Raw genomic sequence first — 25,636 nt, 5'->3', positions numbered from 1 at the left:
TTTAAAATTTTCGGTGAACTCTGAAATGTTTAAGAATGAAGAAAATAATGACAATTACCTTTTAGCACTACAAATACTAGACAAAACATTTAGGTATGTTTTTCTTCTTTTTGTATACCTTCAGCTTTTTCTCACAGTTAAAACCTTTATTTATGTGCAGATTTAGATTTTGAAACATTCTCTGATATTCAGGGAGACACACTGATTAGTAGATGAATCCATGATTTTCCCCTCTGACCCACAAGTTCCAAGAGAACTTCAAAGAGAACTAATATTTGAACTATGACTAAATGTATTTTTAAAATAAACACACATACATACACATACAAATCAAAGACTTTGACAACTTCTCAGCATATTTTAATTATGAAGACATTATAAGCTTCATATCAAAAGCAAGCATATTATTGATGAAATAATGTTCCTCTATGGGAAACTGTGAAGCTGTTATATTAAGAATGCAGGAGGAAGGATAGGTACTGTCTTTAAAATGTGGTTGAGTGTATCCAATATCAAATATATATGTAAGTGCTGAACAGTTCAATTTATCATCAACATCTCTATGATTAAAATTTTTCCTTTCATCTCTTTATATAAAAAATACTTTATGACTACGAACACTTTTTCAGCTTTCTCGTAGTGGGTACTTTTGAAATTTGAATTCTGATTTTATTTTCCCCTTAAGTTTTAAATCCTCTTCAATCCATCCTCAAGTTAATGTATGAACTAATACTGTTTCCCATGTGCCTGCCTTTCATACCAACATTCGCCCCTGTTACCTCAATTTTGAGCAGTTTTTCAAACTATTCCCACATGTTGGCTATTTAATTCCTTGCCCATTGTTGTCTTCTCAAGTCGCAGGATTCACTAACTGCTTTGGCTTTGAATATTCTCTTAATCCTTTTGGTTTTAGCAACAATTTATTTGTTGTTTGTCTGAGTCTGTTTAGGATGCTATAACAAAATACCATAAACTGGGTGGCTTATAAACAGAAACCAACAGAGATCGATTTCTCACAGTTCTGGAGACTGGGAAGTCCAAGGTGAGGATGCCAGCAGACTCAGTGTCTGATGAGGGCTCTCTTTCTGGTTCATAGATGGCACCTTCTAGCTGTGTCCTCACATGGTGGAAGAGATAAGGAATCTGTCTGGGCCTCTTTTATAAGGGCCCTAATCCCATTCATGGGTGCTCTGCCACTATGACCTAATCACCTCCAAAAGGCTCCATCCTAATACCGTCACATTGGTAATTAGGTTTCATCATCTAAATTTTGGGGGGACAGAAACATTCAGACAATAACACTGTTCTTGTTTGCTTTCCAGGGCTTGATTTTAGAACCAGGCTTATGGGTCCCAAAACTGTAAGCTCTAAAGGCACAAATGAGATAAAGTTCTCTGACTGCCCCCATCATGGGCAAAGGTCAAATTCACTAACTCTGCATGGGACTTTTCCCATGAAGCAAATTGTAATTTGCAAGTTGGAGAACTAGATTTATTAGAGAGACACCAAAATATGAACAATGGTTATTTCTTGGTGCTTATACTGGTGACTCTTTTTTAAAAAAAGTTGTGCTTTTCCATGTTTTCTGAAATTTCTGCAAATTGTAATCTCTGATGTGGCCATCAGAAAAAAATCGATAAATGTCTTTGGTCTTATGAGAACCGTGTGATAAACATCTTACCTTCACAAGGCAGAAAATACTTCCTTTTCTTCTTTCTCCTTCTGCTTCCCTCATGTCCCCTGCTGTACCCCCTGCAGCCTTTCTCAAAATTAAATTTAATGATTTCTTATCAAGAATTTACAAGGTATTCTTGCTTTCCTAGGAAGATACGGTGGAGTAGAAATGTTCAAAATAAAGTGTTTTCCACATTCAAGGTATTTGTAATTTCCCAGGGGAGATATAAATAAAATAATCATAGAATAATACGTAGCAATAAAAATCATGAACAGAAATGCATGGTGTATGTTACAATTGCTTAAGTATTCAGAGGAGGTGACCCATCTGCTCCCTCAGTGTGTTTTTAGAACTTTCTTTCAGATTTCCAGGGGGACCCACCTCAAATTTATTAATTCAGAATCTCAGGAGAATCACCTAGGAGTCTGCATTTCCCAGGTGATTTCTGTCATCACTGGTGTTTGGGAAACCACAAGCTTGAGTAATAAGGAAATATTTCAGGAGTTGCTGGAACATGAGAAAAACATTAAAAGACAGGCAGAAATTAGGCAGAAAATTCAGAGGGCAAGTGCTTTGGGGAAGCCTTCTTGGAAGAAATAGGACCTAAGCTTAGATCCATATCAGCTGGAAAAGTGAGTGAATGAGTTCCTGGGATAGCTGCAAAAGGGGTGTTTTACAGAGGTATTTGACCCTCTAAATCACAAATTTTTCTGGATAATGAAATTAAAATGACCTTATGTAAAATATCCACCTCTCTATCTTTTCTTAGAATAGAGTGCACCATGGTCTAACCTCTAAGGCTTTTGAAGATTTACATTTGGACTTGCCACTCAGATTTTTAAATGAATGTCAGAGCTGAAAAGGTATCTGTTAAATTCATTGGCAGAATCAGAAGAAGCTATCACTCAATTTTATCCATTTACATTGAATTCAAACCGTCCATCCCCGTACATTTTTTTTCTGCCTTCCCTATAGGATTAATATAAATCATGGGAGATAATTTGCAAAAAGGGCTATTTAAAATTGCGGCAGTGCAGTTCATTTGGTAATAATTGGTGTAAAATTCAATTATTACCGACGAATAAAGGTTAGTAACTTAATCATTGTAAAGAACTGACGTCTGGGTGAAGAAGGAGTAAATTAGGGGATTCCCAAGTCTTTTAATCTTTACCCCCGAGTGATTCTAGAGTATTTTCAAACCTTGGAAGAGCTTTAAAAAATCGCATCCTTCCTGTTCTTGGATAGAATTCTTCCCATCAGTTTATTTTCAAAGTAATAAATGTGTAAATACATGCCATAAGTTTATATGCTAGTACAACTCTGTAGTAATTTTTAATCCAGCCTAACTATTCAGAAAATTTGGTCCTGATTTTTTCCCTTCTGGCACAGACCAAAGAGAGAACCACAGCCCATTTGTTGAAAGTCCCGACATCTGCTGATGTGTCAGTTTTGTTTAGTTAAAACGTATTCGTGTTTGTGAGGACGGGGGCCACTGAAAGGCGACAGCGCTGGAGAAAATAAATTCTACTTTTACCAACATTAACTCCCTTGATTTTGCATTAATTGTGATATGCTTTGTGTCTGGGGAAACCACCTCTGCACAAAGATTTGGGGCACTGGAAGATTTCATAAATCAAAATAAATACCCAAAGGAAGGCTGGGTGTGACAGAGGTCACCGGCTGGGATGCTGTACACCTGGGGAAATGGGGCTCCTCTCCCGCACCTGCCGTCCTGCTCAGCCGGAACTGAGGCCTGGTTCTGAGGAACAGACAGAAATTCTAAAGAGCTAGAATTTGCCCTTCCCCTCATTATAGTTTCCCACTTTGGGTAGTTAGTATGCATTTAATCCATTCATATTTGTATTGGAATCCACAGCTCTATCCAGACCCAAAGGAGTGCTACTAAACAGTTTTCACAGCTCAGCATTTTTTTGCACTAAGGAGGAAAGCTGGACAACAAGTTTATAAAATGCTGACAGAAATACACAATAATTTAGCGAGCTTCCATTCGCAGTCTTCAAGAATAACTGCCCTACATCTCCCATTATTGTTTCAACTCATCCTTCTGAAATGGCTCACCAAGTAGAGAGATGCCGTAAAGGTATGGTCAGCAATGAATTATTAGTAAGCAGTATAAGCATGGTGATAAACCTTTTAAAACTTGCATCTATACGGCAGGCACTTCAGAAGGTAAATAGGTATAATAACACATCTATGGGGTTCCCCCTCTCTCCCCACTGTCACATGTATTTCTTTTCAAAGAGAAGAAAGGCTGACTAGGTAGCTGGCCTTTAAGCCTTCAATTAATTGAACAAAGATTTTTAAATTGTTCAATTGGTTTCATTAGGAAGTGTACAATGAAATAATAAAGTAAAACAAATGATATAAAGCAGAGCCACTAATTAGCTCTACATGATTGATATAGCTTTGGACCAGGCATTTGATCTCAAACAAAATGCAGTTCCTTGTTAAGAGGATTTTTAATTGATGTGCAGAGAGGTATTAGTTGATGTTAGAAAATAATTACTCCAAAGCTATTCATGCATTTGGCTGAACATAACAAATGAAGTTTGGGCACTGGATCTGGTGAAGTGGACACGTGCTAATTAATAACAAGAAGAACAAGCATCTTCCAGGCGTTTTTAACCCAGTATTTGCTAGAAGATTGCTGAGCAATTATGCGCCATAATGAGGTTGTCATATAAACAAGATCAACATTACTCAGATGTCAGATGAGATTTCAAATTCATGCAACCCATATGTATTTTCTGGTTGTTATAGATTGCAATGGAGAGCTAACCAATCAAGGTCGCTACTCCAAGTTCAGGTATGATTAAGGAGACATCATAATGAGATAGCAAATCTTTGCTATTTTCTGATGGTCAAATTAAGGCTATCCCGTTAGAATAAATAAGCAGAGATATTGAGCTCACATCAAAGCACAATACATAAAAAAAAGAACTTCTCTCAAAGATATGAATATTGACTAGGGTAAATATGCTCTTCATCTCTAAAAACTTGATGAGCATATGCGCCAAGTTACACATAATTTGTTAAATCTGACAAGAACGTTAAATTAGCATTTGGTTGGTCTCGGCCAAATTCCTTGCTCAGAAAAATGTGTGCATGTTGACATGAAATTAGAGGGACTTATGGGTGAATATCTGAAGGCGGAATTTGTCTTTCTTTGTTTTATATAAGGCTGTTCCCCCTCCCCCACAAATGGTAGAAAATAAAGCTAATTTGGAATATGTCTTCATAGTTAAAAATGCAGCAGATTCAAGTATGTAGATGACAGACAAACAGCTTAAACTGCAGTTAGGAAAACTTGAGTTTGCTATGAGTTACAAGTATTGAAATATTGCTTAATAGCTCAACTTAACTTTTGCAACATATAAACTCAGTCTGAGTGACTAATTTAATATCTGCCTTTTAGAAAGTTCATTTTACTCAATTATTCTCCACAAATTTTTATGTTCCCCGCTATTGTACTGAAAACCTGATGTTTCCCATGAAATGGTGGGATGCGTGAATTTTAAAGACTTTCTAAGTTCTTGCCAGATCAAAAAATGTGTGTGTGTGTGTGTGTGTGTGTGTGTGTTTGTGTGTGTGTCGAAAACACGTAGAAGTGAAAGAAAGGTCAGAGTCAGAGAAAGAGGATTTCCAGACTGCTAATGAGTTTCTCAGTTTCTTCATGAAGCTTTACTGCTCATCCTAGTTGGTGCACAATTCTCTATCCAGAATGCTACCACTTTCACCTAGACGGAGCAATTAACTGCCAAAGCAAAGAGGGGTATGTGTGTTTATTCACAAAGGCTCTTTTCTGAAAAGACAGGAGTGAGGGTGCTGTCCTCTGTTATTTTGTGATTATTGTTTGCTAATGTTAATCTTTATTATCTTTATTATTTGAACTCATTCCTTTGCTACTCAGTATTTCATTTTTTTAAACATAATAAATTATTTAATTTTTTAACAGAAAACCTCTTAAAATCGAGTGGTGATTGGCCGGGCATGGTGGCTCACACCTGTAATCCCAGCACTTTGGGAGGCTGAGGTGGGCGGATCACTTGAGGTCAGGAATTCAAGACCAGCCTGGCCAACATGGTGAAACCCCTTCTCTACTAAAAATACAAAAATTAGCCAGGCGTGGTGGTGGGTGCCTGTCATCCCAGCTACTCGGGAGGCTGAGGCAGGAGAATCGCTTGAACCTGGGAGATGGAGGTTGCAGTGAGCCGAGATTGTGCCATTGCACTCCAGCCTGGGTGACAGGAGAAGACTTCATCTCAAAAAAAAAAAAAAATGGAGTGGTGATTATTAAAGATTATTAAAGGGCACTCAATGCCCTGATCAGTCCCAAGGCCTGTTTTTGTATTAACTGCACAGTCTGCAGGACAATGCAGAGACTAGAAGACAAAGATCGTTGAGAGAAGTTCTCCAGATTCCATGGGGGCAATAGAACCTACAGCAAGAACAAGAGGATGGGGTACAGCAAGAAGATGAGGATTTGTGCCCTGTGAGAGGCTTCAACCTTGTCTAGATGGGGTCAGATGCAGACCATATCACTGTGGCCTGGAGGATGGATAGGACTTACATGGATGAATAGGAATGTGAAGTAATTCTAGTAAGAAAAGTACATTTCTTCCCTGAAATAAATGCAGGAAACTGCATTGCTGCCCAGTTCTATGAAGACAGAAACCAAAGTGAAGGAGTAGAATGTGAAACTCAAGGAGTGAGCTGGACTCTTATCAAAGGACAGGTCACTAGTTTTGATCTATGAACTTGGAAATATCTAACTGGAGCTTAAGAAGGGTCCTTCCTCTTGGGTTAAGCACTGAACCATCTGAATAAACACTGCAAAGCAAAAACAACAAACAGAAAAATCCCTGGAATCTATATAAAAGTTTGAGTTCTCTCTTAAACATGGCTGTTGAGTATCTCCTCTTGCTGCCTGGTAGAAATGCTGTGGATGTTTAGAGACTAAGTAATTACAAAGGTTATTATGCTCTATAATCATAAGTGAAAAGAGAGTTATTGAAAATGTAATTACAAATTATGACCATGTTAAATAGATGAATAGGAATAAGACTGGAAGGAAATAAACCAGAATGCCAATATTGGTTTTGTTAGAGTGGTGAGATTATGAGTCATTTACCTCTTCTTTTCCAAATTGCCTGTAAACTTTTAAAATTATTTTTTAATGAGCATTCTTTAAAGTAAGAATTTACTACAGTAAATTCTCTTGGAGCAAAAAGCAGGAAAGTTTCTGGAAGTGCAATTGGTAATTCTGATTGTTCTGTATAACTGGAGATTCCAAGTAGACTGATATTACTCAATAACTTCTATGACATCAAAGGATTTCAAAGTAAATTGTCATCCCCAATGAGATGGGTCATCTTTTGACTGGATTGATTTGATTATGAGAGTGGGTCGTCTTTTGATTGGATTAAGGGTAAAGAATGAGTAGGTAAATGGGTGAAGAATGCATAGGCTGCTTTCTACACCTCCACATAGAGCACATCAGCTTGACAGGTAACTGATACCTTTAGGAAGCCTGGTCTTGGCAGCACTGGGCAAATTTAGCCACCCATGAAAGGAGCAATGGTCCAAAGTCACTCCCTATGGTGGAGTTGACAGCTTTTGCTCCTCATGATCTGTGAAATGCGGCCTCAGATGAGATTTTAAATCAGCTCTGAAATATGCTTGAAGATTTACAGAAAATTACTTGCAGGCAGATATCTTTCTTTTGTGCAAGGAAGATCACAAGCATAAGTACCCTTTGTGTAAGAGAGGGCACCCAGAAGAGGAAATTTCTTCCTGCAATTCACCTAACATCAAAATTTAAACTACTACATAGTCAGTGGTTCTCAAAGTGTGGTCTCAGCCCAGCAGCATCAGCATTACCTGGGAACTTGTTAGAAATGCAAAAATCTCACACCTAATGCATCTGACACTGAGGGCGGGGCCTATTCATCTGTCTTTATGAGACATCCAAGTGATTCTGGATTCTGGATGCTACACACTAAAATTTGAGAAACATTGACACAAGTACAGTGGCAAAGAGCATGACTTTTGGATTAACTACTTGGGTTTAGATCTCCATCACTTACTAGCAGGATGAATTTGGTGCAAGAGAGAAGTAGATGGAAGGAACATATGGAATTTCAAGAATTTCCGTGAGCCTCTTCATTGAATGGGAAAAGCCCAAGTAAAGAATTTAAGATATTTTGAATTTTATTTCTTCTTAAGTAACTCTGTTTCTTTGATCATTCTTGGAATAAACTATTTGGGTGATAATTTTATAAGTGTTAACATTTATAAGTTTTTTTTAAGTTGCAGAGTATATATTTTATTAGGGAAAAGTATGTCATCGTTTTCTATGAGTAGTTATGTTCCAACTACATAGGAACGCTGGAAAGAGAAAAGTTCACACATAAAATAGTTCATATGAGACAGAAAAATGGAAGGGAAGAAGACCTGGCCCTGGGATCTATAACAAATTTAGGTAATTGTCTGGAAATGGAAGGAAACAGAAATCTTCATGAGAAGAGATCTGAGTCCTCACGAAAATTTAGCAAACAACTGAGAAGTGATTGTTTTAGGCAATGTCTCTTATCTAACTCTTCATCCACAGCTTTTACCTGGACAGTGGTAGCAGGGCCAGCTACACAATTTGCAGGACCTAGTGATAGATTAAAACATGAGGAACTTTGTTTAAAAAGTAAGAAAAAATTACCATTAAAGGTAGTAAGATATAAAGCTTTTTCCTTTCTTTTTCTGTCTGTCTCTCAGCTTGTCATATAGATTTTATTGTTTATCCTTATATTGTGCAATCCCAGTTGTAAATGCAAATGTCAGAGCATTTAACTCCTATGTGAAATCTCTAAACTTTTTCAGTTTTTTTTTTTCGTGACTTCTCTCTGGCAGGTCTCTAAAGCTGGCCAGAAAAGGCAAAAACAGGTTGGGCATGGTGGCTCACACCTGTGATCTCAGCACTTTGTGGGGCCAAGGTGGGAGGATCGCTTGAGGCCAGGAGTTTGAGACCAGCCTGGGCAATGTAGGGAGACCCTGACTCTACAAATAATTTAAAAATTAACTGGGCATGGTGGCATGTGCCTGTGGTACCACCTACTCAGGAGGCTGAAGCAGGAGGATCACCTGAGCCTAAGAGGTCAAGGCTGCGAGGTCAAGGCTGCAGTAAGCCATGATCATGCCACTGTACTCCAGCCTGAGTGACAAAGCAAGACCCAGTCCCCCCAAACAAATGGGCAGAAATAGGCCAGATTTAGAAACGTTCTAAGGAGGAAGAGAGGCACCCAAAGTACCAAGTTGCCTGAGGGAGCATTCCCTCCTGCTAGAATACTCTTAGGGTAAGTATGGATCCCAGAGGCACCTGGGAGCCCCTGCCTTGCAAGTCAGGGAAACTGAGGGCACTCAGGCTGAGAACTGCTGGGTTCCATCTCCTGCCAGGGACTAGATTTACATGCTGGGCCCCAGCAAGTGTGGAAAGTGAAGCCAGGAATCCCCCTTACCCATAGACTTGCTGCCCCAACCCATGGCAAATGACAAACGCCAAGCCCAGGGATGCACTAGGTCCCCTGATTGGGGGTAAGCAAAACGTTCACCCTGCCCAGTTACCCACAGAATGTGCTGTGGCCCTGTCATGCCCCACCCTCACCCTCCTAGGCCTCCTGAGGGTGGCAGAAGTGGTCAGAAGGGAGCCACATTATCACATGCAGGGAGTGGGGAGAGTGAGGCCAAGTGAGGCTGGGTGCACCAGGAGTGTAGGGCACCTCGCAGGTGAGGGCCTGTCCTGGCCAATGCAAGGAGACTGTAGGAGGTGGGCCTCGAATGAGCCAAGGCTCCAAGTTCCCCATTTCCTTTCCCCCTCCCCAACCCCAGGCACCACCATCTTATTTTACTCCAGTTACAAAACATGTATTCAGAGACAAAGTTATTAAAAATCTCATGGCAACAACTGGAGAGTAGTAAATCACAAGCACAGGGGCTTCTGTGCAAAGGGCCCTGGGGGCGGCACTGGTGCTGGCCCATGAGGCCGGTGGCTGTGTGATGAATGGGGTGCACCAGGTAACAATATGCTGTGTGAAGGTAACCAACCCACGTCATTTGTATTTGGGATCCCTTGTCTATTTGGGAAGAATTGGAGACTTAAGAATTTTATTTAATAAAATGTGGCCACAGAGTTTGGTCAAACATCTTATTGAAGCAATTTGCTGGGCTGCTTTATTAGAATCAAGGGCTCTAAAACATAGAACTTTTCATGCGCTCCATATTATATGGTTTGGATGTGTCCCCACTCAAATCTCATCTTGAATTGTAGCCCCCATAATTCCCACGTGTTGTGGAAGGGACCCGGTGGGAGATAATTGAATCATGGGGGTGGTTTCCCCCATACTGTTCTCATGGTAGTGAATAAATCTCAAGAGATCTGATGGTTTTTTATGGGGTTTCCCCTTTCACTTGGCTTTCATTCTCTCTTGCCTGCCGCCATGTAAGACATGACTTTCACCTTCTGCCATGATTGTGAGGCCTCCACAGTCACATGGAATAGTGAGTCCATTAAACTTCTTTTTCTTTATAAATTACCCAGTCTTGGGTATGTCTTCATCAGCAGCATGAAATACAGACTAATACACTAAAGCACATAAGAATGCAGTTTCTTACAGATATGGAAAAACATCTGAATATTCTGAACTTGAAACTGTAAGATAAAAGTATAAGCCTTAGTGATTTGTTTAAGAGTGTGTAGGTACTGAGAATTCCACTGGGTAGTTTGGCAACTGAATTTCACATTTTACCTCCATTTCTCATTGTTGTCTTCCCTAGAATCAATGAAATCGCCAATTATATTTGTGTGTAGTCATTTAAAGTAGATGTATTTCAAAGAGATTCACAAACAGTCATATATATGAATCATGTTTTAAGTTTTTGTTGCTGCCTTTGGAGAACCAGCTTCAGGGGAAGCAGAGTTTCAGTACTTAGAGCAATCCATGCCATATAGTAAGTGCCCAACTAATACTGATGAATGAAATTTCGTGAAGCTGCTCTTCCGCACAGTTCAGTCGGTTCAGCCTATCAAGGATCACCAAGGAGATACTCTATGGACCCCAGAGCCATCCTGACATTTCTGGCCTTGTGGGTAAATTCAGGCCAACATTTGGATCATAATCTTTTAAATGAAGCCACTAAAATAAAAGCCAGGTGCTTCCTTCGGTGGTTCAAACCCAGAGTCAGAAACAAGATGTAAAAAGATCAAAGCACAAACTGTCACAGTGGATGATAAGTTGGGAGTAGGACCCAGGAGCTTTCTCTTTTGATTTAAATTGTTGTAATATTCCCTCCAATCTCCCACCTTATTTTTATTTTTTGCAGGTGCTACATCTGTACAAATGAATCCAATGTTTCCATGTGAGTCCAAAGTTCTCAAATTCTTCACTGGCAGCATTATACATTTTGGTGTAAAGTCTATTTTCATGGTTTAAAAAGTCAGACTATTTTCCTGGGACATTTGATGATAGAGAATAATTCAATTTGCCAAATAATATTATTTTAATTGACTTGCTTCCCAAACTGACTCTTGTCTAGCAATTACACTTATAGGTATAATTGTATTTTTGTATAAGTCTGATTGAACAACCTTTGAAATATTTATGCACATTTAAAATAAGAGGCTATGTTTCACCAATGGTTATCAATAAAAAATTCATGCATACATGAAAATTCCTGATCCTGCAGTCCTCTTCTGATTAAAAAAATGCCATTTGAGTGTCTACTATGTGTGATAAACATTACAGATGATATCTCATTTACCCTTCACTGAAGCCCTATGAGAGACATTATATTACTTCCCCCAAGTTCCCATAGGCTCAGAGAAGTTAAACTAGTTACCCAGAGTCACACAGCTAATGTGTAATAGGGAGGATATAAATAGTAGTCACTGGACCCCAAAACTCCTGCCATTGTGGCTCTGATCTCTCCCCTCGACTTCTACCTTTTTCCAAAGGAACATAGCATTCTGTTTCCTTTTTTCTTCAAGAAAAGGGATGCCTGTCCCCGATGCACCAGGCAATATTCTCTCTTTAGGGGATTTTTCAAGCTTTTCCAGTGCCCTGGATTACCACCCCACCACCCCTTTCACATTCTTAGTGACTACACATTCCTGCTAGAATACCTTTTAGGGAGAAAGGTTGGGAGAGAGCCTGGGAGGGTTATATTCACAGCTAACTAATCTTCTTCTCCGAAGCTCCTTCCTCCTTTCTCGTCAGTGAGTCATTTACTTTGAATAAATAGCTTCTTTGCTGAGCAAAGTTTCAGCAATTTTTACAGCCTTATGCTTTTTTATTTTTTTAAAATACGACTGGGCTCTTTCCCTTCTGGATGTGTTTGGGCTTATTGTGAACATAACATAAAACAATGTTAGAACCCTGCAGCTTTGTGTGGAGAGAATAGCTAGTGCTTAAAGAACAAGCCTTCCCTCCAGCTCCAAAGGTAAACCTCCCACAGGTCTTTATGTGGTTGCTTAAAGCATGTTCTCACCTATTGCCTCCTTTTATCATCCAACATCTTGTGAAATAACCAGAGTGGCCTGTTAGTACTCCCATTATTCAGATTAAGGGCACTGAAACTCAAGTTTTAGAAATTATTGGCAGAGCCAGGATTCCTACTCAGTTCTTCTCTGGCATTGGGGCTGTGCCCATTTCTGCTGCCTTGCTCCACGAAGGGCCTGCATCCGCCCTTTCCTTGACCTGGGGTCACTGCTATCTCCAGCCATTCTTTGTTCTGCCATTCTCTGCACTTTCTCAGCCACACATCTCTTTGGCCTAAAAGCAAAGTGAGAAAAATAAATTTGGAGTAGAAACAAATTGTACAAGTCTAAGGGACCATTTCTGTCAATATTTTGGTATCTTGTTTAATTATTTTTTTAATGTTTGTGCAGTTGTCTGTGTGTCTTTTTGTTGTGAGTCTGTATCAATATTTTTTTTTGCTTTGTTTAAGAGGGCAAGTTCCCGGAGAGAGAGAATTGTGTCTATTTTTCTTTTCCTGCCCTCCACAAAACACCCAAACTATGTGGTTACTTTGCAGAATTTTTTTGATGTCAAATTTCCTCTGCCTGGACATCCCCCTCCCAATTTTGTTCTAGTTCTTTTAGGGAAAAAGAAAATGAATCTTTTCGTTCTCAGAAATATTTGTTAAAGTAATTTTTCTTTGAAAACTCTCAGCTGTAGGGTCTGGTTATAAACTTGTGCAACAGCGTGGCTTGTAATCCTTTGGTTCTGCTCTCATGCTAAGAGAAATGGGGGATTGTAGCCTTCAAGCTGGACCTTAAGAGTCAACATTGGCTTAAAAACACAAGTTTACTTGTAATTTGTCTTAGCGTGGGCCTCTGTTCACTGGATATATGTGGCCTTTTAATTACGAAAGATGACAGAGCAGAAAGTATATACCCAATGGGGAGCTCCTTAAAAGCACAAATAAATTCTATATTTATAATATAAAATGCATTATATTAAGTTTGACACTTTGACCAAGTGGCACAGAGATATTTCCTTTCCTGCAGATTTCTCCAGGGGCAGTTAATCTTCTCTTGTTTCTCCTGACTTTTGGAAGAGAAAATAGGCAATGACCTTGACTATAGAACATCAATCAAAAGGAAAAAAATCCAGCTGGTGTCCAAATATTTGATCTCCTATGATGCCAAATAGCTGGGTGCTTGTGGTCTAACCCTGATGGAAAGGGCCTGGCTTGTTTATGCCAATAGTCTTACCCTAGTTATGGTTGCATTTGGAAGCTTTCTTTGTGTTTATGCCACTCTGTGAGTGAGAGTGCAGATTCCAACTTACCTTTCTCCTAATCTCATTTGAGTGGCCCCAGGAGGTGTGTGCACTCCCTGCCTGCTGCTGCTGAGGCTCCACACTCATTCAGGGTGGGCCTTGTGTGGTAAATGACACTTGTCATTGAGAACCTCTCACCCACCTAGTGCCTCTGATGAATAGCCCTGGGTACAAATGGGTGCCCTGCAAGGCTTTTCAAGCTGGGGGCAGACACAGACTGTACTTGAAAAGGAATAAGGACTCCAGGCTAGTCTGAGGCTTCAGTTGGAGCCCCTAACTTCTCAGTAAGGAATAACATTCCATGGAGGAGGTGAGAGGGACTTGTCATTCCGTGAAGACATACCTGCATCATGTCCATGTCTGAGAAGCAGCCGAGTCCCCAGGAACGGAGAGGAGCCTCAAGAGGAGTGAGTCCCTGATGTGCCCTATCTTCCTGATTAAAAGGTCACCTCTGCAGATGAAACCAGTCAGTTAAAGAGGGATCTCCAATTTGTTCCCACTACCATCTTTGGTGCCCACAAAGCTGGAGCGACCAGGAAAAGCCAATTTTCTTCTACCTTCCTGCCTTCTTTCCCCCTTCCCTCTCTTCCTATAGCCTTGCATCCTTATTTCATTCAAACATTTATTGAGTAAACATCTGTACCAGGCATTGCAAGGGGCTAAGTAGACCAACTAAGGAATATAATGCAATAAACAGAGGTGCATGTATAGTGCGATGGTGAATTAATAGAGACAGTGATCAATTCCTGGAAAGGTAATAGGGACTTATCGGGAAAATTTCCACCTTAAAAGGGTCATTAGCATTCCAAGCAGTAGGAGCAACACAGTCCAAGGCTTGGATGACTGACAAAGCATAGACTGATCATTAGTCAAGAATCTTTTTGTGGTAAATAACAGAATAAACACCTTGATTTAAAAAAAAAAAGCAGAGATTTATTATAAGGACATGAGGGGAAGGACATAAGTATTTGTCATCTCAAAAATGTCTCTCAGATGTTCCTTGACCTTCACTGCTATCACCTGAGTTCACAGTCCTGTCTCTCTCACAGGACCCCCCAGAGACCTCTTCCTTCTTTTATTCTGGTGCTATTGAATCCCTGCTCCATATAGCAGCCACGATCATTCTTTTTGGCTTGCAAGTTGGATCACATCAGCTCACTCAAATCATGGCCCTGACTTCCCCTTGCCTGGAGCACTCAACCTGATTCCTCGCATGGCTTACAAACCCACACTTCATGTGGTCCCTGACTAGTTTGTTCCACTCTCCTGTTTGCTCAGCTGGACAAAGCCTTTCCAAAGTTCTCTAATCTATATCCTCTTTCTGACCTCAGGACATTTGCCTAAACTGTTCCCTTGGCCAGAGACGCTCTCCTTTTCTCCTCACTCTTCACCTAGCTATGCCTATCATCCTTCAAGGCTGGGGGTCAATGTTACCTTTTTGAGGGGTCTTCCTGGCACCTCCTCCTCTCTTTCTCTCTCCTCCCTCCCTTAATTCTTAATCCACACCAAATAGTATAGTTCAGTCCAAACTCAGGTAAGTGAAAACAAGGAAGTAAATATTTTCTGATGGGAGAAATATATCTCCAATCAAAACTTAATTTCCTTGGAATTTATTTTTGTTGTTGCCAAAAAATATTTTGACACAAGTATTTGCAGTTTCTATTTATTGCTAAAAGTGACTGTAGAATGCATACAGTGAAGTATTATTCAGTCTTAAAAAGTGTATTAGTCTGTTTTCACGCTGCTAATAAAGACATACCTGTGACTAGGTAATTTATAAAGGAAAAAGGTTTAATGGACTCACAGTTCCACATGGCTGGGGAGGCCTCACAATCACTGTGGAAGGTGAAGGAGGAGCAAAGGCACGTCTTACATAGTGACAGGCAAGAGAGCGTGTGCAGGGGAACTGCCCTTTATAAAAACATCAGCTCTCATGACACTTATTCACTGTCATGAAAACAGCATGGGAAAGACCCACCACCATGATTCAATTACCTCCCACTGGGTCCCTCCCATGACACATGGGAATTATGGGAGCTGCAATTCAAGATGAGATTTGGGTGGGGACACAGCCAAACCATCTCAAAAAGAAGGGAAATTCTGACACATACCACAATACGGATGAACTTTGAAGATATTATGCTAAATGAAAAAGCCTGGAAAAAAAGAATTGTATGATTCCACTTCTGTGAAGTACCTAGGGAAATCAAATTTGTAGAGACAAAGAATAGAATGGTGGTGGCCAGGGGCTAGAGGAGAGGAAATGGGGACTTAGTGTTTAATGGGTATGGAGTTTCAGTTTGGGAAGATGAAACAAATTCTGGAGATAGATGGTGGTGATGGTTGCACAATAATGAGAATACAGCATACCTAGTGCCACGAAACTGCACACCTTAAAATGGTTACAGTGGTGAATTTCATGCTATGTATATTTTACCACAGTTTAAATTTTTTTATAAAAGATTGCAAAGTAAACACACTAAAAATTAGAAGTTTCCCTTAACTTCTTCCCTCCATTCCTTAATCATATTCTCTTCTTAAGAAGTAATTTCTACAATAGTTTGCTTTGCTTTATCAGTTAATAATATATCTCAGAGTTTTAAAAATGGCTTAGTATTCTGATTCTTGATGACTCTGAATTAAGGTTTACTTTGCATAAATAAACCATAAACTCTAGACATTCCTTTTTTAATGAGTGTTTGTTTCCTGTTTCCAATTACTACCAAATACAGTGTACATTTTAAATTGTGAAAGATGGTACAAAAGTGTTCTTTAAAAATGCTTCTCATTGGTATCAACAATCTACAAATGAGCCTATGTCTTCACATCCTAGCCAATACTGGATATTCTTAATCTTTAAGATTAAATTGTTTTATCTTTCCTGATTTGCATTTTCCATATTTATTTACAAGAGTTCTTTATATATTAAGGATAGAAAACTTTTGTCTATTATAAAATTTGCACATATTTTTTTCCAGTCTGCTGCTTGTCTTTACTTTGCTTCTCAAGTTTTCTCTACAAAGATTTATATTGATTTACAGGGTCAAATCTGCTAATGATTTCCTTTAAGGCTTCTTGGTATTGGAATTTTCTTTTTTTTTTTTTTTTTTTTTTGAGACAGAGTCTCGCTCTGTCACCCAGGCTAAAGTGCAGTGGCGCGATCTCGGCTCACTGCAACCTCCGATTTACGGGTTCATGCCATTCTCCTGCCTCAGCCTCCCAAGTAGCTGGGACTACAGGCGCCCATCACCATGCCTGGCTAATTTTTATACTTTAGTAGAGATGGGGTTTCATCATGTTAGCCAGGATGGTCTCCATCTCCTGACCTCATGATCCACCTGCCTCGGCCTCCCAAAGTGCTGGAATAACAGGTGTGAGCCACCACGCCCAGCTGGAATTTTCTTAGAATTCTTCACTACCCTTAAGAGGAACTTTCTTTTATGTGTTATATAGTTTGTTTTTATGACATTTAAATATTTTATCAATTTGTATATTCGCATGTATATAGCATAAGATAGTATCTAATAACTGTGTGATTGCTTCGATTTCTCTTACTATCATCTTTCAATGGCAAAGTCCGCAATTACTTTTCCACCATCCTAATACAGTGCTTTAGGTTTGGTCTTGCCAAGTGCTCAGAAAATGATCTTTCAGAGTAGTTCTCCTTGTGGACTTTTTCTCCATTTATGAACTTGGGTCAGCAATTTCCCCTTGAGTGTCTATTTAACTAAGCACCTATTGAAATAACCTTATGTGGCATGTTCATTTCTTCTCTTGCTACTTGATGGTGTGTTTGTGCTTTTTGTGTTTGTTTTTATTTTTAGAAATCATTCCAGGGGGAAAAAAAAAGGTGCTGCTTTATCCCAGCAGATATCAGAAGAACAAAGTGTTTCTAAAAACAGCCTTTGCGCTGGTGACTGCTTTGTGAAGAAATTTCATAACCAAAGGCCTGTTAACAGGACTGATTATTTAAGACAACTGTGGTTCCTGTGTAGATTTCTTGTGCAATGTGTGAACCACACTACTAATTTACTCTTTGACCAAATGCTCCTGCTTCATAATATGCCGTACTCCCCTAAAGCTTTGGAAAACAGCTTTGAGCTTCTCACTTCTTTAGTAAAGAACTTCTCAGTTGATTTCAAGTGAAATGCCAACAGTCTCACTTTTTTCAAACACGCTTCACAGCCATGGCTGTATATCCACTTTAAAAGTGTATGTTTTGTGGGTGGGGGTGCGGTGTGCTTTGAGCAGTTGTCAGATGTTTTATTTTTGGAAAATTCTAAATAGCATTTTGAAAGATAATTAAGGGTTGCTCAAGTTTCTTTCAGAATTGAAAAAGATATATTTTACCTCCTTTGTGAATTTTTACACTCAATACTTCACTTGTCACCTCCTCCATTTTATAAATCTTTTAATTAATACTGTTTATTCTCCTCTCAGTCTGGCCTGAGTCGTGTTTTTATGATCATATTATTAGGAAGTGATAACATGTGTGGGTTTTTTTTTTTTTTCTGTATCTGGGCTTGCCAATCACTATGGAAACAAGCAAATATTTACATAGTCCAGATACTGATTAATAACTACTGGTTATTTTGACATTATAAAGTTACTGTTTGAATGTAAAGAATTTCTCCTGAATAGTAAAGCAGTCTATTATAATTTATTTACATTTGTAATTTTCCCATCAGAAATTAATACAGTTACTAAAGCTCTATCAAATTATAGCAATTTCTGAAAGAGCCATTTTTGCCAACATATGACTCAAAATGTTAAAACATGCTAGATGTGTAAAAATGGTTGTTTTAAATTTTAACAGGGACAACTTACGTAAAAGAAAAAATTTCACCTGACATTAGTGATACAGATACATCGCTTAAGATAGTATCAGCACGACGCTACATACTAAATGTTGAATCTTAAAAGGACTCATTAAAGAGATATTTTATTAGGCCCTCAAAGAAATATTTAGCAAGAAATGTAAGCCCTGGAATTTAACCTCTGGGGGCACTTGGTAATTCCCTCTGAGAACAATATTCCCCCACTCTTTCTCTCACTCTCCATTTGGAATGTTTTTTTTCCTAGGAAGATTTTTTTTTTAACCTTTTTTTTTTCAGCCTTGGATCCAAAAAGTTGTACTTTGTATTGTAGAACAGTGGTTCTTAAACTTGAAAGTGCATCAGTATTACCCAGGGGGTTGGGCTCCACTTCCCGGAGTCTGTGATTCAGTAGGTTTGAGTGTGGCCACAAACAGAATCTGTATTTGTAACAAAGGTGACACTGCTGGCCCAGGCACTGAACTTTAAGAAACCCTGCCTGAGAGTCTTTTTCTTATTGTTACCTAAGTTGGGAAGTTTTTATAGACATTGCAGAACGTTTTGAAACAAACCTTAAAAATATGATGCAGCATATTTTGTAGCAGAGATAGAGCTTCCTGAAACCAAACAATATGGATTTATTATTCCTGCAAAGCTGGAAAGTGGTACTCTATGGGTCAGGATCCCAATAATAGCCATCATCTCTTCAAGAAAAGTGTTTCTCAAAAACTCTGTAAGAATCTCACCTTATTAATCAACTCTTAACATCAATTGTACTCCTATCAAATAAGTCTAAAATTAAATGGTGTGTGGGTTGGTCAAATGTAGGTGAATCTATGGAGACTATTTTACATTTTTCATTAATGTAGCCTCACAGTCTTCAAAAAGACTGATTAGTTTACCATATTACCTATTTCTATAGAATTGAATATGAATCTTTGCATCTCATCTTAGGCAGCAAAATCGATGGTGTAGGAAATCTTGGAGCAGCATATTCTACTAAGAAAATACTAAAATTTGAAGTCAGAACAGCTGGATGATTCTTGGTTCTGCCTTTCACTTGTTATAAGATCTTGGACGCGCTCCTTATTTTCTCTAGATCTTAATATCCTCACCTCTAAAGTGGGGCTAGTAATATTTACTTGATTGAGTCAGCAAATATTTTTTGAATGTCATCCATGCACTGGGCTCTGCTGTGGTGATGTTCAAAAGATTATGCCATGTTTTTCCTCTTTCAAGGCATTTATAGCATTATTTTACTGAATAAATGACAGCAAGGGTGTGAAGAACTTAGTAAACTATAAATGCCTAATGTAAAATCTTATTGTTCCTTGCATAGTAGCTGGCCTTGATCATGGATTAAATGAGCCTCATCTACTCTTGGAAAGAAGACAGGGTAACTCCATGCTAAATGGAATCCTGCCCTGAGAAAAGTTACTACCATTGATTTTGGCATCAGACTAGTGAGTTGCAATTACAACAGGTATTTTTCCTCAGAATACTTTTGATCTCTGGAGAATTCAACTTATATTTTCATTTCAAGAAAATATTGATTTAGCTGCAAACCAGGGAATCTAAAAGGGATGGTCAGAATACTTGCTCAATGAACAGCATTCAGGTTTGTGATGTAAAAAATAATTTTAATAAAGTTTAAGAGAAAAAAAACACTCCTTTTAAAGTTTTTTGGCATCAAATGATTTGTTGCCTTAAGACAAATAGTTGTTTTGGTTTGTTTTGCTTTGTTTTTTAATGAATAGAACTCTTTTAACACTCCAGCTCAGAATAGATAGTAGATTTCTTCCTATCTAAGGAAGTTAGGCACTGTTAGCATTGAAGGCTGCGGGCTTCAATGTTATCGGATTTTGTTCTGATAAAGCAATTTCAGTCTCAAATGGAACGTGTCATTTCTTCTTTATTAAATTTCCCAGTTATTCTTTCACCTCAGGTTTTTACGTTGCCTCCTATTTATTTCTGGACTTACTCACTCAAAATATGGGAAGGCACAGGGGTTTATATGAAGTCCCATACAACCTACAGTTGTCAGAAACCAACAGGAACTGACAGAACTCACAATCAAAATGGCTCCTATTGGCAAACTAGGGTAAAGCTCCGAGGGAGAATTTACATCATCAGAAGACAAATAGCACAAACGTGTCACCACGTCTTTAAGTCAGTCTTCATTTCAGTGTATGTTCAGAAGGGAATGATGCAAACATGGCGTTGCTTCTTCAACATTTCCTGCTAGGTGCCCATTGTCTTCCTGTGAAACACCAAGCAACTTACAACCGGAAAGAGAAAACTGGTTGAACTACTGGTCCATTGTGCTCCAGGTTTTGAAACAGTCCAGTTGTTTCTGTATTACTTTGCAATATGTATTTTCCTTAAGATTCAGTTTACAAAGTTCAATATCTATTCTATTTTAAACTATCTGGTCCTTTCACCTTTGCCCATACTACTTACTACATGTCCCCAACTCTGCCATCACAGTCAACTTTTTAAAATGTTTTTATTTCCATAGGTTATTGGGGAGCAGGTAGTATTTGGTTTGGTTACCTGAATAAGTTTTTTTTTTTTTTTTGGTTGGAGTCTTGCTCTTGTCACCCAGGCTGGAGTGCAGTTCTGTGATCTCGGCTCACTGCAATCTCTGCCTCCCAGGTTCAAGCGATTCTCCTGTCTCAGCATCCTGAGTAGCTGGGATTACAGGCACCCGCCACCGCGCCTGGCTAATTTTTGTATTTTTAGTAGAGACGGTGCTTCACCACGTTGGCCAGGATGGTCTCGAACTCCTGACCTCAGGTGACCCTCTGTCCTCGACCTCCCAAAGTGCTGGGATTACAGGCATGAGCCACCGCACCTGCCCATGAGTAAATTCTTTAGTGGTTTGTGAGATTTTGGTGCACCCATCACCCAAGCAGTATACACTGCACCCAATTTGTAGTCTTTTATCCCTCACCTCCTTCCCACCCTTTCCCGTGAGGCCCCAAAGTGCATTGTGTCATCCTTATGAATTTGCATCACCATAGCTTAGCTCCCACTTATGAGTGAGCACGTACGATGACCGAATTTTTACTCAATTTGTTGATGACTTCCCTATGTACAGTTAATTCTTACTGCCTCTAAAGAAGTAATCTCTGATGCTATTACTTTATTCCTTAAAAGTCTTCTTGAGCTCACAATTCCCACTATGGTCTTCAAGACAGGCTGTTTATCCTCCCACACAATTTTGCCTCATTTTCCCATTGGTCCCTGCTCAGTACCTCTCATTTGGTTTAGGTAGTTTACTTCCTGGGTAATTCCAGCCTTATTCATGCTATTCATGCTATTCATTCCAACAAGTTAGATTCCTTTTGGTCTTCTAAATCTAGTGTATCAACTGCTTTTTCTAGAAAAACTTCTGAAGATATGTAAATATTTAGACAGCCTCTGTAGACAATGTGGAATGTATCAATTCAGGGAAATCTTGGTGAGTGAGGTTTAATTATTTAATTACATAGAATCATCTTGTCTTCTTATTGTGATTTCATTTTGCTTCTCTTCATCTATCTCTCCTTCTTCCCCTCGTTCCTTTTCTCTCTCCTTTTCTTCATTCCTTCTTTCTTTTCTTCCTTTCTCCCTCTGTTCTTCTCTCTCTTTCTCTCTGATACCTACCTTCCTTTCACTTAGACCTCTCAAAATATGGATGAGGAAATAAAAGAAAAAGCACAATTCAAATCTGTTGTTTTGGAGACTTTATTAGCATTCTGGCATAAACATTGTTATAATTGTTTTTAATGACTAAAATGAGCTGTATTATTCAGAATGTGTAGATGTGTTATACACTGTGAGGATTTGAGTATCTATTTTGGTACCTCTCTGCGTAGAACAAGGATTATTATTTAGCAGTATTGCATAATTATCAAATTGCTAGCTAGATCACGTCTTTAAAAGCAAAAAGTATACACTAAAACATTAACAATAACAAAATATAATTTCTAGTATTGGTGGTACCACTTTCCTCAAGAGAAGACAGGTAGTGAACAAAACTAGTCAGACAAACATTGGAAGTTTACAGATCAACAGTTTCAGGTGAATTCCCGCTAAACACCATCATCTTGCACAGGCGTGTTAAGCCCTGACAATCTCCAGCGGACTCAGGACACCTTCTTACTTTTTCAAATGGTGTGTGGGTTGGTCAAATGTAGGTGAATCTATGGAGATTGGTATTTTTATTCATTAAACAAAATTGTTTAATCTATGGAGATTAGGTACTTATTCATTAAAAAAAAATTTATTGATGTCTGCTATTGACAACTCCCACAGAAGTGAGCACATGACTCAAAGAGGTCAGGTCAGAAATTTTTGGATTGATCAATACAGATAGAAATGAGAGAGCCCTGCTTCTTCTGAGTTCTTAAACCCTAAAGCACTTGTGAGGCTAGAACTGCAGGGGGCACATCTTTGCAGCCATATGGAGAGAGGCTTTTGGGGGAATGAAGCCAACATAGAGAAAGTGGAGCCAAAAGAAGGGATAGAAAAAGACAGTTTCCAGAAATAAATTACTGATGACATTAATAAGTCCCTAATCACTGGTAACATTAATAAGTCCCTAGATCCTGCTGTACCTGAAGCTCTATCCTTCAGATTTCTCATTATGAGAGCCCATACATTCTTTTCTCATTTAAATAAGTTTCAGTTGGATTTCTGCCATTTTAAACCAAAGAGTCCTGATATCCTCGAACTTTCCTTATTATAAGAGTAAAAACTGATTTAAAAAATACAATGCAGAGAAGTACAATGAAACAAATTACATTTAACTATGTGACAATGACATTTTTGAGGGCAAAGTGGTAGACTTTTAGCAATTTTATACAGTTCAAGCTACTAAAAGTAATATTAATGGTTTCTTCACTCAGAGATAACATTTAGCAACATTTTGGAATACACTTTCCTAAAACTCTTTTGATATATATTTCTGGAAAACATGCATATTTAGAGTTTTTATTTTATTTTATTTGTTTTTATTTTTATTTTTTACAGATAGAGTCCTGCTATGTTGCTCAGGCTGGACTCAAACTCCTGGCTGAAGCAACCCTTCTGCCTCAGCCTTCTTTTTTTTGAAATTTATTTATTTATTTATTTATTTTATTCTTTAAGTTCTAGGGTACATGTGCATAACATGCAGATTTGTTACATATGTATACATGTGCCATGTTGGTGTGCTGCACCCATTAACTAGTCATTTACATTAGGTATATCTCCTAATGCTATCCCTCCCCTCTCCCCCCACCCCACGACAGGCATCTGTGTGTGATGGTCCCCTTCCTGTGTCCAAGTGTTCTCATTGTTCAATTCCCACCTATGAGTGAGAAGATGTGGTGTTTGGTTTTTTGTCCTTGTGATAGTTTCCTGAGAATTATGGTTTCCAGCTTCATCCATGGCCCTACAAAGGACATGAACTCATCCTTTTTTATGGCTACATAGTATTCCATGGTGTATATGTGCCACATTTTCTTAATCCAGTCTATCATTGATGGACATTTGTGTTGGTTCCGAGTCTTTGCTATTGTGAATAGTGCCGCAACAAACATACGTGTGCATATGTCTTGATAGCAGCATGATTTATAATCCTTTGGGTATATACCCAGTATTGGGATGGCTGGGTCAAATGGTATTTCTAGTTCTAGATCCTTGAGGAATTGCCACACTGTCTTCCACAATGGTTGAACTAGTTTACAGTCCCACCAACAGTGTAAAAGTGTTCCTATTTCTCCACATCCTCTCCAGCACCTGTTGTTTCCTGACTTTTTAATGATCGCCATTCTAACTGGTGTGAGATGATATCTCATCGTGGTTTTGATTTGCATTTCTCTGATGGCCAGTGATGATGAGCATTTTTTCATGTGTCTGCTGGCTGCATAAATGTCTTCTTTTGAGAAGTGTCTGTTTATATCCTTCACCCACTTTTTGATGGGGTTGTTTGTTTTTTTCTTGTAAATTTATTTGAGTTTCTTGTAGACTCTGGATATTAGCCCTTTGTCAGATGAGTAGATTGCAAAAATTTTCTCCCATTCTGTAGGTTGCCTGTTCACTCTGATGGTAGTTTCTTTTGCTGTGCAGAAGCTCTTTAGTTTCATTAGATCCCTTTTCTCAATTTTGGCTTTTGTTGCCATTGCTTTTGGTGTTTTAGTCATGAAGTCCTTGCCCATGCCTATGTCCTGAATGGTATTGCCTAGGTTTTCTTCTAGGGTTTTTATGGTTTTAGGTCTAACATTTAAGTCTTCAATCCATCTTGAATTAATTTTTGTATAAGGTGTAAAGAAGGGATCCAGTTTCAGCTTTCTACATATGGCTAGCCAGTTTTCCCAGCACCATTTATTAAATAGGGAATCCTTTCCCCATTTCTTGTTTTTGTCAGGTTTGTCAAAGATCAGATGGTTGTAGATGTGTGGTATTATTTCTGAGGGCTCTGTTCTGTTCCATTGTTCTATATGTCTGTTTTGGTACCAGTACCATGCTGTTTTGGTTACTGTGGCCTTGTAGTATAGTTTGAAGCCAGGTAGCATGATGCCTCCAGCTTTGTTCTTTTGGTTTAGGATTGACTTGGCAATGAGGGCTCTTTTTTGGTTCCATATGAACTTTAAAGTAGTTTTTCCAATTTTGTGAAGAAAGTCATTGGTAGGTTTATGGGGATGGCATTGAATCTCTAAATTACTTTGAGCAGTGTGGCCATTTTCATGATATTGATTCTTCCTATCCATGAGCATGGAATGTTCTTCCATTTGTTTGTGTCCTCTTTTATTTCGCTGAGCAGTGGTTTGTAGTTCTCCTTGAAGAGGTCCTTCACATCCCTTGTAAGTTGGATTCCTAGGTATTTTATTCTCTTTGAAGCAATTGTGAATGGGAGTTCACTCATGATTTGGCTGTTTGTCTGCTATTGGTGTATAAGAATGCTTGTGATTTTTGCACATTGATTTTGTATCCTGAGACTTTGCTGAAGTTACTTATCAGCTTAAGGAGATTTTGGGCTGAGACGATGGGGTTTTCTAGATATACAATGATGTCATCTGCAAACAGGGACAATTTGACTTCCTCTTTTCCTAATTGAATATCCTTTCTTGCTTTCTCCTGCCGGATTGCCCTGGCCAGAACTTCCAATACTATGTTGAATAGGAGTGGTGAGAGAGGGCATCCCTGTCTTGTGCCATTTTCAAAGGGAATGCTTCCAGTTTTTGCCCATTCAGTATGATATTGGCTGTGGGTTTCTCATAAGTAGCTCTTATTATTTTTAGATACGTCCCATCAAGACCTAATTTATTGAG

The 25,636-nt window shown here is 38.8% G+C and overlaps 1 long non-coding RNA gene across 1 annotated transcript in view; it reads left to right on the top strand.

Moving 5' to 3' along the window:
• LINC03069 (long intergenic non-protein coding RNA 3069) overlaps window positions 1-25,636 on the top strand; it is a 187,650-nt gene that overhangs the window by 10,718 nt on the left and 151,296 nt on the right. The gene's annotated exons all lie outside the window — the stretch shown is intronic.

Source organism: Homo sapiens, chromosome 18 (genome assembly GCF_000001405.40).
Source record: "Homo sapiens chromosome 18, GRCh38.p14 Primary Assembly".
NCBI lineage: Eukaryota > Metazoa > Chordata > Mammalia > Primates > Hominidae > Homo > Homo sapiens.
This window is presented reverse-complemented; position numbering and strand designations above follow the sequence as displayed.